Raw genomic sequence first — 12,513 nt, 5'->3', positions numbered from 1 at the left:
TACAAAGTAAAAACGAAGTGTGGCAAATACACTTGTCTTTGGCTGTATATTTTATGTATTATTTTCTATAATCAGGAGAGGGAACGAGTTATTTTCGCTTCTTATGGCTCAGTACTATGACACAGCAGAAAGTAGCACTTAAGGAATAGGGACTTCAGGAACGGTGTTTTTATCAGTGAAAATAGATAAAAGCATGGAGAAAAGAAGTAAGAGTCAACAATACTGAGTTATTTAAGAAAAGGTCTTGAAATTTAAGAGTGAATTGGTGTTGATATGAAGAAAGCAAAGAGGAAGCTGAAAGGATTTAATGAGTATAAGAGGAGGTTGATGGTTATCTAAGGTCCTCTAACATCATAATATTTTCAAGAAGGTGCACTAGAAATTGCAGTTGAAGATGGCGACTTTGGAAGAAGTGCCAAAACTGCATGCAGTGCTCATCAAGGAAAGGAACAATTTGGTAACCTAAGCCTGGATCAGGATCATTCTCCTCCATTCCTTTAACTTTTGCTCTGCCTTGACCAGGATTTTCTCAGTGTTGAAGACACAGCTTTTTCCAAAGCTGATCCTTACAGGCCACCAGGTGGAGCCCAACAGTCACAAAAAAAGAGCCCCCTCCTCAGCCTGATTTGCTTTTTGCCTCCTAGCCGGCCAGGTCCATACCCCTTGAAAAGAACATACAAACTCTATAGATCTGGTAATGCGAGTCCATAGCATTATATAACTTGGTTTCTCCCTCAGAGCTATCTTTAAAGAACATGCTCTCAAAAAGGTGAAATATTCCTTTTGCAAAGGGAAAGATTGGATACAGTTATTTTTCAGTTTGCTAATCTTGGAGCCTATGCTTCAATGAAACAAACTAATTTCTTCTGTTTGTTTTTTCTATCAATCTAGTCATGGTTTAATTTTCCTACTAATTACAATTCAATGTATTTAATGTAATTTAATGACCACCTCTTCAATTCCTATCTACCCTGTAAGAAACTGAGTATCTATCAAAACTGAATGGAATGTAAAAGTATTTGCTTCCATGGGTCAATAAATATTGCTGACTGGCTAACAACCACCACAAGGTGAAAAGCTAGGAGACAAAGGTGATACCAGAACAGACCTCCACCCCCTACTTCCCATCTCTACCACAGTCCTCTAAGGTCAGAATTTCCCTTCCTCTGCTTTCACCTCACTCCGTCATCTGCTCCAATGGAACCTGCTGTCCTTCACACTCATTAAAGCCAGCAGCACTGTGACCCATTCTCTGTTTCTCATTTCCACAGCCTCCCATTAAGCCTAGGCAATCCCATGTTCAACCAAGAACTTCTCAGCCTGTAATGACCTATTCATTTTTCCTCCTCCTCCTCCACCCCTCAAAACCACCAGACTTTGCTTGATAAAATAATATAAATGTGTCAATTTGCTCTAGGTCGATTCATGTCACATATCTTCAGCTAGCCTTCAGTGTTGCCAAGAAACACTATTAAGTTCCTCACGGTAGCTGCTGTAAAACGTTTCCATTTTATTCAAGACTTACCCTTAAATAGTCAAGAAGAAACCATGACAAATCTGGGAGAAAGTGACCATGCTATCTCTACGCTCAAGACATCCCGGAAAGAGAAGCTGGAACTGTAAACTCTAGACTGAGGATACCAGATTTCCCAAAGGGCTGAGAAAATATAGGCATGAATTCCACTGCAAGAGTTTCTAAAGGGAAAGATGATTTAAGAGGTTGGGAAGCTCTTAAAACTGTAAATCTGATTATGTAATTGCAGATCATTCCAGCGAAGAAACCAATGTGGCTTTTTAATTATCCTGGACTAGAGTGTAGTACTAAATATTAAAGGTACTAAATATGTTGTAATGTATAACAAAAAACAGTGATCCCTAAAAGCTAGCAAGGGTTCACTTGGGTTTTGATAGCATTACAGAACAAGATTCATAAAAATGTGGGCGATGTGATGTATAGAGAGGTGAACAAGGTTCAACTGAGATCTCTCATGACAATTCTAAGAACAAGATAGAAAATAACTTTATAACAACTGGAAGTCTCCAATGTTGTAATACTCTTTGAGCTGCCCCTAAATGGTGGCCCCAAGGCAGCACTAGGGTGTCAGAGAAGCAATGCTTACAGCAAAGGGGAGGCCAAGCTCCATGTCCTACCTAAGGATCCTTCCAAAGCTACTAACATCATATATTCTATTAATGTGTGCATTCTATTCAATCCTTCTGTTAAATATCTGTGCCTTCTCAATTTGGCGTTCTCCACCTGAGTTTTTATACTTGTTGTATGCCATTGTCAAGCATGGACTTTGAAGTCATAGAACCTTAGTTCTCATCATTTTCTGTTCCAAATTACTCCTTGTGTGTTTTCTAGCTTGATTCATGGTGCAACATCTTCCTAGTCAACCTGGCTCAAGACATTGGGGTCATCAATCCATTTCCATCTACTCATCTGACCAGCTAGCAAATGTTCACCAAGTGTCCTTGTCCTAAAGGAGTTCATGGCCAAGTAAAACAAACAAGCAATTGCAAACCAAACAGATGAGAAATATAATAATAGTACTAATAGAAGCTATGGGAGCACCAGAAGGGAGGCCTGTGAGTCAAGGAACATTTTTTTTTGAGTGGACAAATGAGTTTAAAAGTTGAGTATTTCACCAAGCAAACACTAGAGGAAGGAGAAAGCCACTGTTAGGAAAGGAAGTGTAATGTGCAAAAGTTTGGAACTATGAACATACACACTCAGCTTGGGAAATGGCAAGTTTGATTTTCGATAGTGAAGACCACAGAAGGAACTGAGATGGCTCCCAGTAAATTGTGGTTAAATGCCATCAGCATCCACCCACTCCCCCTAGTCAGAGCCCTGAAAGTTCATCCAAGATTCCATCCTTCTCCCTCATGCCCTATTTCTAATTAGTCATCGCATCTGGGAGAATTTACCTTCTTAATCTCCCCTGAATCTTTTCATTTCTTTTGTTTCCTCCATTGCAACCCTTTATTTCAGGTTCTCCCACCTCATCTGTCTTACTGCAATTGTGTATTATGACCTCCTGCTACTAGGCATGTCCCTTCTCATCTATTCTTTACTCTCAGTCAGAGTGATCTTTTAGCAAAGAGGCCTCTGTCCTATAAGAAATGATCCTGGATTTCCCCCTTTACCTACCTCCTCTAAATTCCCCCAAATTATTCTATTCTATGGAAGAACTTAGAACATTCTGTTTTGTACTGTAGGTAGAACTCAAAGAGATAAGCCATTCAAGCCATCTGTTTTATCCACGCTCTTTCCCAGGAGTCCCACAGCGCTGCAAATTGGGTGTGAGTCATGGATGGGACTCTGGACCCCCACCTCTGCTTGAAACTACTGACGAGGGAAAACACCTGCCTCAAGCTAGACCAGTAAGATTTTCCACCATAGAAATTCTGTATTATGATCTAGACTTTAGTATGTAACTGCCATAGGACTGGCAGTGCCATTTTGGGGCCACGTGTGCTGTTGTGCAGGTAGAAGACTACTGTGCAGAGAGAAGCAGAATAACACAGCTCATGTGCAAAAAGGGGTAAAGAAAAGATACTGTGTGGTGGCTGGGCTAGTCACAGGGGTGAAAGAGAAGCTGTGGTTCCTTTGTTGCCTTGTTAGTTCTGATTTTCTCATGAGACTTCCTCCATTTCCTGCTCTGGTTTTTAAAAGAATCACCAGCTTCTTATATTAATCTCTACTTTTATTTAAATTAGTTCAAGTGGGATTACACTTCTTAGAATCAAATTATCGCTATGATATATACATGCAAAAATCCTTTTGCATTAGACTATAAGTTCCTTAAGTAACGAATCCATAACTTGTTTACCATTGTATTTCTCAGATAATATAGCATAGTGCTTTACACATAGTTGGATCAAAACCAGCCTGGTGAACTAAATGTAACTACAGAAGAGGAAAATGACTTTGAACTTGAATAATTAGAAGCAATTACATAGGCAAAGGAAGTCCGATACTTTTAAGGAGAGAGGTATAGGAGTTGGGAACAAATTGAGAAGGAAGCCACCTTAGCTAAACTTGATTTTTAGGGATAGTTTATGTGGAAGCTAACCATAACACTTTCGCACCCACAGCAGGTATTACCGTCACACTCCTGGTCAAAGCCTGGCAAAGATAAGGGAGGAAACCTAGGCAGTCATAGCACAGCATGTTCTGATTAAGAAAAAGTGACCTCAGTTCTTAAAGATCAGTAACGGATAACCAGAACAAAATGGCAAGGCGACCACCAACATACTCAACAGCTGCAGCCCTCACCCCTCATACAACAGACGTCATTTGAGAAATTCATCAGGAAAACCTACCATGTTTTATTTCTTAAAATAAATTTTCTCTTCTTCACAAAGATTTTAAAAGGCATATTTCCATAAATGACAATTTTTATATCCTTATATTAAGAAGGTAGAGAAAAAGCATGATGTTTCCATCTAAATATGATTATCTTCATTTTTTATTTTGAAAATTACATGATTAATATGTGACTTTTTAAATATTATTTCTTTAAATCCAGCAAATGTGCTTGAGGCTTCAAAGACCTGACTCCCTTTTTGTTGTATTTTACCTTCAAGAAAAGGGTTCCTGATGAAGTAATGGCTCAGCTATAAAAAAAATAAAAATTAAAAAATACCTATAAGGCCATGAAAGTAATAAGAGAAACTCATACTATGAAGATTTCCTGACTACACCCTTACAACTTGAAAACTAAGGAAGTAGTCCAATCAAGTACACACAATGGGATACGACAGAAAGGCAGATAAAAAACAAGGCTGGATTTCCTGGTTTGATGTGAAAGTCTTCCTCTTTTACTGCCAAACAGAGTGTGGCTGCACAATCAACAGGACCAGGTGGCACAACCGTTACTGGGCCTTTTGATTTGATGGTGAGAAACGGGCAAGCTTGTAAGAAGGACTATTTAGGGCTCAAGGGGTTGACATCACTTTTGGATAATTAGTTAGGCTTAAAAATGATGACATTGCAATCACACCACTTGAGAGGAAAAAAAGAAAGTACAACTGTTCCTAAGTAGCTATGAGATCATTTAAATCACACCAATCTTCATATAACTGAAAAAGTGGCACAGGGTAGTGTTTCTTATATATGAAACACTCTTACATATGACACACACATTTGATTTGGCTTATTTTGCTAGGCATAAGAAGCTAAGTATAGAATAAACCTGATAAAAGCAGCACATTGTAGCCATCCATTCAGTGCTGACTCTCCTACCCATAGGACATTCCCAGGAGGGTGCATCCTGTACAAGTTAGATGACCAACAAGCAAGTCATTAAACTAGACTAAAAGTAAATCAACAGGCTCTTTTCTAGATTGTATACCTTTATAGTCATTTCCTGTGAAGCATAAACCAGACATCATCTATAATAAACACTTAACATAGCTAAAACTTACTGCTTTTCTTTCAATATGAATACCAGTTCTAAGAAGAAAATAGGCATAGCATTTGGTCAAACAACTGGGTCCAGCAGTTTCTTCAGATGAAAATGAAGTGGCCATCCATGATGCTCCTGGACTATGTCATGTATATTTAAGTTAGATTGATCTCTGACAGCATCCACAAAAACATGATACCCTTTTCCTTCTTACAATAGGGTAGTTTTTAATGCCACAGGCAAAATCAATACCGAAAAAGAATGCCATTTAAATATACCTTCATGTTCATATTTTAAAGCAAAGGAGCCTGGGGTCTCCTGAATATGCCTAGACTTTGCATGGTTTAACACTAGCATCTGCAAGGAGAGGACTGGTTGTTTGATGCAATGAATTATCTGTGGTACACAAGTACAAATAGGACACATGACATAACTAAATAAGTAGAGGCTCGGAATGTTCATGTTTTACGCCAAAAAACAAAAACAAGAATGTGACTGCCTGGTAATTCAAGGAACATACAGGCAATCAGTTGAGGTGGCAGCTAAGAGTGACTTCTGAAGAATCAGGACCAAAATACACCAGAAACCGTGCTTCAATAAAGAAATAATAATTAAAATACACAAAAAGTTTACCTAAAGACCACCTAAACTGAGTTCTGCCTGTGACCTGTGGTTTTTCCTACCAGAGATCACCTACCCCAGGGCAAAATTGCAGTCCTCCTTCCAGTCCACAATGCGGCAGATGAACAGTGTGTTGGCATAATCTTTAGGCCGTGCCACAAAGTCCTGGGGACAGTCCTTGAGAGGCACATAAATTCTAGGCACTCGGTGGTCTGAGGGAGAAAACAGGGCGTATTTCCTAAACAGTTCGCTGTTCTTATCAGCCAAGAGTTTGAGGAAGCCGGTTGCTGCTCGAGAATGTTTTTTCTCCAAGATGTAAACCACCTAAAAACACCAAAGATATAGTCAATGTTGTTTATCTGCAGAACTGAATTACACTTGGGAGAGGTCAGCAGGTTATAATTTGATCAACTAGCAGGAACCAGCAGTTTTTCTAGGTCAAAATAAGTGCCTCTCAGTGATGATCTGTGACTTAGTAATCTATATTTAAGTTGTAAGAAGTACCTAGTAGGCATACATATCCAAGAAAAATTATGCAATACATGGATGAATTAAATCAAAGTGCTTTTATTACCATGACCTGTGTCTTATAAAGACATGTGGGACTCCAGCAGGGAAGTACAGCTCCAGGTATTTGTTTCACATTATATTTTTCTCACATGAACAATACTAGTATCTCACACAAACAACACGGTAGGTGCTTTTTGCAAAAGTAAAAGGGTTATCAGACATAAATTACTTCTCTTAATTATGTCTTGAATAGCTGAAAGGAGAAATATTTGATCTTCCTTCTTTCCAAGATTAAGCCCAAGCTCTAATTTGACTAGATGAAGATTGAGGCCACCACTCCACCACATACACATGTGATTTCCATCAAGAGAGAAGTATTCTCTGAGAAAGTGAGTCTTCTCCCTCACCACCCCCTCCTCAACACATTCTTCCTGAAGTGCTTCCTTTCCCTACCGTAGCCAGTCTGCAGGCTCATCCCTTCCTCAGAGCTTGCCGACATCCCACCAGACCCCTGAACAAAGATTCAGCCTGCAGTTGAGCTGGCTGCTGCTCTTCTCTATGTCCCTGACTCCATGTGGAATCTCAGCCTGTCTGCAGGAAACCTCCAAACCAATTGAGTGCACCACACCTCTCCCCCAGTCACTCCCAGCTACTACCCCACAGGAAAGCACCTTAGGGCACCCGTCTTCTCATGCAAGCTCAGTCCCAAAACATGCTCTACTTTCTTCCTCTTAACTCTTCCTTCTTCCCTGAAAAACAGCTATTTTAAACAAACTGCTGTGCCCTCTTTCAAGAAGGCTGTGGGACACCCCCCTTCGCCACTCCCTTGCATGTAACTGTCTCTCCTAAGGACTGCCTTCCCCAGCCCATTTAGGAAGAGGATGCTCCTTTTCCCACATACAGCCTCTGAAATGGGTGTCCATGTTTTCCCATGCTGCACTGCCACACCCAGACCTTTACTCTTCCAGCCTCATGCATGTATGTGCACCCTCTTCTGGTTCAGGTGGTCCCCATCTTATTATTATCATCTCCTGGCCTCCTGGTTACTCTGTGAAACCTGGCTTACAGTCTGGCCCTCCCACGTCCATCCAGGTGAGTAACTTAGTCAACATCCTGTCCTCACCTTTCCCTATCTCTTCAACGCCAGCAACCTTCACTTCTATTTGATTTCAGCAACTTGTCCTCATGGCCACACCTCAGCATCATCTGGAACTATTCCAATTCCAACACCTCCTCTCCGATGAATCCACCACACAGCTCGCTTGTTCTCCAGTGCTGCACTCCACAGGCTTTTTCACCACATCAAGACTTCTAGCACCTTTAACCCTTGCCTGTTCTCCAAGTCTGTTATCTACGTCTAAGCCTCGAATCCTTTCCTCCCTTCCCAGAGCCACCGTGTGTGTGTGTGTGTGTGCGCACACACAATACCAATACCACATGCACACTTTTTTTTTTCTTGGAGACCTTGCTCTGTCACCCAGGCTGAAGTGCAGTGGTGTGATCTTGGCTCACTGCAACCTCCGCCTCCCAGGTTCAAGCAATCCTCCTGCCTTAGCCTCCTGAGTTTCTGGGACCACAGGTGTGTGTCACCAGTCACCACGCCTGGCTAATTTTTGTTTATTTAGTAGAGACAGGGTTTCACTATGTTGTCCAGGCTGGTCTCAAACTCCTGATCTTAAGAGATCTGCCCGCCTTGGCCTCCCAAAGTGCTGGGATTATGGGCGTGAGCCACTGCATCCGGCCTTGAACCACCATATTCTATCACCTCAAGTCCTCTTACCCAAGCTGTCAAATGCCTTATCTTCTGGTCCTTCCACTAACCCCACCCTAAAAACCCTCAGTCCTGCAACATTTCAGCCACCAGTATTCTCTAACCTTAAACGCAAGGTATAGAGTTGATCAGAAAAGAAATTACAATTGTACAGATGGACAGCATTATACATTGTTATACAACTTTTGCTAGAACCTTAAATTCTCTGAAGATATATTTTCACCTGTCCCCATTCTGCACAATCTCTCCTTTCATCTTCAGTCTCTTGATCCTCTCCTAGGGCTCCAGTTGTCTGAATGTTCAATCTTCTTCTTGTCCCACAACTCCCTGAGGCTCTGTTCAATTTTTTTCAGTCTATACTTTCTTTGTTCAAATTGGGTTAATTCTACTGATCTCCTCAAGTTCACTGATTCTCTGCTGTGTCATCTCTACTACTGAGCCTATCCAATAGTGTTTTTACTTCTGTTATTGTACTTTTCAGGACTATACTTCTCATTTGGTCCTTTATATAATTTTTTTTTTTTTTTGAGACAGAGTCTTGCTCTGTTACCCAGGCTAGAATACGGTGGCACGATTTCAGCTCACTACAACCTCCGCCTCCTGGGTTCAAGAGATTCTCCTGTCTCAGCCTCCCCAGTAGCTGGGATTACAGGTATGTGCCACCACGCCCAGCTAATTTTTGTATTTTTTTAGTAGAGACAGGGTTTCGCCATGTTGGTCAGGCTGGTCTTGAACTCCTGACCTCAAGGTGATCTGCCCACCTTGGCCTCCCAAAGTGCTGGGATTACAGGAGTGAGCCACTGTGCCCGGCCTTTTTATAATTTCTAACTCTTTGCTGAGATTTTCTATTTTCTCCAAGGTTTCAAGAAAGTTTTTAATTGCTTATTGAAGCACTTTTATGATGGCTATTTTTAAATCATTGTTGGGTAACTGCAAGACCTCAGTGTTGGCATCAGATGATTGTCTTCTCATTCATGTTGTGATCTTCCTGGTTCTTGATATGATTGGTGGTTTCCAATTGTATCCTGGACCTTTTGGTTATCATGTTAAGACACTCTGGGTCTCATTTAAATCTTTTATTTTAGAAGGCAGTCATACACCCTGTTGGGGTTTAACATGCAGGTCCTGACCTACTTTTGTGGGCTGTAGTTTCAATGACAATTTCCTTGGAAAATAGCCTTTGCAGTGCTATCTTGGTATGTTTGGTTTATATGGTATCACTGGGGCTCCCGCTGGTCTCTACTGGTACTGCCTATGTGGGTGGCAAGAAATTCCCCAAGCCAGGCCACCTGGTCTAAGTATGGAATGGGGATCTCCAGCCTGCAAGGACAAAGAGGCTTCCCATTTTGGGTTTCTTGTTGTGGCAGGATCACCTTTATTGGTGCTACCTGGCTGCCCAGTGTTTCTGAGTGGGAGAGGGAAGTCTCTGGCCCACAAGGATAAAGAGGCTTCCTGGACCACACACCCATTATGACCAGATCTCCCTTGCTAATGCCACCCAGCTGCTTGGTGTCTCTGGGTGAAGAAGCAAAATTCTCTTGCCTGTGAGAACACAGGGGCTTCCCATACTTGACTGCATGTTGTGGCCAGATCCCCTTTCCTGGTGTTTTCTGGGTAGATGTCCAGTGTCTCTGAATGTTCAGTGCCTCTGGGTAGACGAGAGTCGCAGTCCCACAGAAACAAAGAGGCTTTCTGGGCCACTTCTAGAATCCTTCTTGTTGGAGCCACTCAGATACCTGATGTCTCTTGGTGGGAAAGAGAAGCTGCAGGTCCGGTGAGGAAGGAAACCCCTTCTCTTAACCACTTACGGTCATTAGGGCTCTTTACAGGTGCTGTGGATGTTGCTGGAGGGATTTCTGTTAGATATGGGTGAGAATTAGTCTAGCTGGGCCACCCTCTATTGCTAGGTTGGCATTCAGAAACACTAGGCCTGGGCCACCTTCTGTTGTTGCTGTTGTTGGTGGGGGTTGTGAGGTCCCTGCTGTTATGTTGTTTCTCTAGTACTGACATAACTAGTTTGCCTTCCTCTTTTCACCTTTCAGAATTCTCCTTTGGTTGCCTCTTGTTTTTTCCAGGGTTTACAGTTATCCTCAGTGGGAGGAGCAAGAAAAAATAGGTCTATGCCATCTTGTCTGAACTGGAAATTCCTGTTTCTTGTTTTAATGTTTGACAGCACGGAAACGTATAAAGTAGGCTGACATTACTACATTACTTGCAATTCATATAATGTTAATTGTCATGGAAATGACTCTACCATAGCATAAGTTTCGCAGGCAAGTGCTGTTTGCCTTGTAATTTTTGGTTGAATCCATTAAAAACATTATCCAAAAGAAAGGGAGATAGGGAAAAGGGAGAAGGGAGAGGGAAAACATGTTTGGAGGGCAGTAGCAAATCAAAGAACACAGGTTCCAGGGCTGCCTCTACTCAGCTCTGACTACAGTCATTTAGAAATTTGGCCCAGTGTTACCAAATGTTTTGTTTTGACAAGAGAAGCCAAAAGTCTAATTTTTAATGTGAACACCCCCACCCCCGCCCACCGACGACTCTTTTTTTTTTTTTTTTTTTTTTTTTGCTGAAAGCCATGAAGTCAAAATTTTTAAATACTGCACAGGTCAAACAAAATAGGTCTGTGAGCCAGATCCATCCCCAGGCTTTCCATTCATTCTAATCTCCCACACTTAGCATGCTGCCTGGAGCACAGTTAGTACTCAAATATATAGAGTATAATTTAGAAATTCCTCATGTCAGTATGCAAGAGCAATACTCTATTAATCAACTTGCTTGGTAGAGTAAGCACACTGCATTCCCATATGAAACACACTGATGGATGCTTCTGAAACATAAAGCCTCATGCCATTATGCCACTTTATACGTTGCCCTTCACCATTTCTGCCACTATGAGCTATGTGCACAGCTAGAAGTCAGCTGTGTTTAGTCGAGCATGTTGGCTCACACCTGTAATCCCAGCACTTTGGGAGGCTGAGGCAGGCAGATCACGAGGTCAGGAGTTCGAGACCAGCCTGGCGAAACCCCATTTCTACTAAAAATACAAAAAATTAGCCAGGCATGGTGGTACACGCCTGTAATCCCAGCTACTCAGGAGGCTGAGGCAGAAGAATCGCTTGAACCAGGGAGGCAGAGGTTGCAGTGAGCCAAGATCGTGCCATTGCACTCCAGCCTGGGCAACAACAGTGAAACTCTGTCTCAAAACAAAAAAAAAAGAAGTCAGCTGTTTCATCCCACATCTGAAAATGACACTAGCTTCTATAATTAAAGAATACAAGTGAATTGTGCAAAATGGTGAAATAGGAATATAAAAACAATTGTTTCTATAACTAAATTGAATACTTTGGAAAAACTAAAAAAGACATTAAAATTATTTTTAAATTAGGTATGGGCATGGTAACAACAAAAAAATTGGAGCAAAAACTGTACAAATCTGAAGAGAGTCTATATTCATACTGCTTCTCCACTGTCTAAATTCTCACTCCACCAAAACTCAAAGTGATAAATGCTGCATTACAAGTGTGGTTTAAGCAAGAAAGATAACACAGAACTCCAATCAACATACCCACACTCAAAGAAAAGGCCTTGACCCCTTATCCAAAGGCAGGAAGATGGATTCGTATTTATATGTTTAAAGTTTTTTTTTTTTAATTCACTTTTTATGATTCTCTGCTCTAACTTTTCTGATTAAATGACCAAATACAGTCCTGACTGAATCACACGAGATCTTCAACAAGTAGCTCAGGTGAAAGCCATTTGGACACGTGGAGAAAATCTGTAGGCAATGACCTTTGCTGATCTTTGCAGGGATTTCTCCGATAAAGCTCTTGTGTCTTGTGAAATGCAGGTGGTCTCATCTTTTGTAACCGGTGCATCACCATCCTCTCTTCCTACATTAAAAAGATAAAGAGAGAAGAGGAGTCATCAACCAGATGCATATCAATTAGTGGGATTTTAAAATTCAATCTAGAAAGATGCCTGGATACCAGTTACCCCAAACTACTCACTTTACAGAAGAACCCCAGGCCGCCAGTGGACCTGTCACATACCAGTATTATACTCAGGCTGAGCACTCAGCCTCAGCAGACCACATTTTATCTACTTAACATTATTCACATACTATCATAAATATCATACAACTGGAGAGCATCAAACTATGTTGAATTAAACTAAATAGCCTGTGTGTCGAAA

The 12,513-nt window shown here is 41.3% G+C and overlaps 1 protein-coding gene across 5 annotated transcripts in view, besides 1 other annotated feature; it reads right to left on the bottom strand.

Moving 5' to 3' along the window:
• Positions 1 to 12,513, bottom strand: part of DIS3L2 (DIS3 like 3'-5' exoribonuclease 2) — a 382,638-nt gene that overhangs the window by 201,520 nt on the left and 168,605 nt on the right. For 3 of the 5 annotated variants that reach the window (NR_046476.2, NM_001257281.2, NM_152383.5), the window contains exons 7-8: positions 12,112 to 12,212; positions 6,112 to 6,359 (exon numbers count right to left, since the gene is read on the bottom strand). Coding sequence is in view for 3 of the 5 variants with exons in the window: in NM_001257281.2 (NP_001244210.1) it covers positions 6,112 to 6,359; positions 12,112 to 12,212 (349 nt within the window). In the remaining 2 variants the exon portion in view is untranslated. Of the gene's footprint in view, positions 1 to 6,111; positions 6,360 to 11,887; positions 12,213 to 12,513 lie in introns of those variants that run through there. The other 2 variants (NR_046477.2, NM_001257282.2) reach the window with 2 other exon arrangements.
• Positions 4,698 to 4,992: a silencer, noted in NCBI's record as "tiled region #7061; HepG2 Repressive non-DNase unmatched - State 15:Elon". NCBI's record gives its function as "represses a minimal TATA promoter and a strong SV40 promoter by Sharpr-MPRA in HepG2 cells {active_cell/tissue: HepG2}" and the evidence as "EXISTENCE:reporter gene assay evidence [ECO:0000049][PMID:27701403]".

The sequence above is a fragment of the Homo sapiens genome, chromosome 2 (assembly GCF_000001405.40).
Source record: "Homo sapiens chromosome 2, GRCh38.p14 Primary Assembly".
Classification (NCBI taxonomy): domain Eukaryota; kingdom Metazoa; phylum Chordata; class Mammalia; order Primates; family Hominidae; genus Homo; species Homo sapiens.
This window is presented reverse-complemented; position numbering and strand designations above follow the sequence as displayed.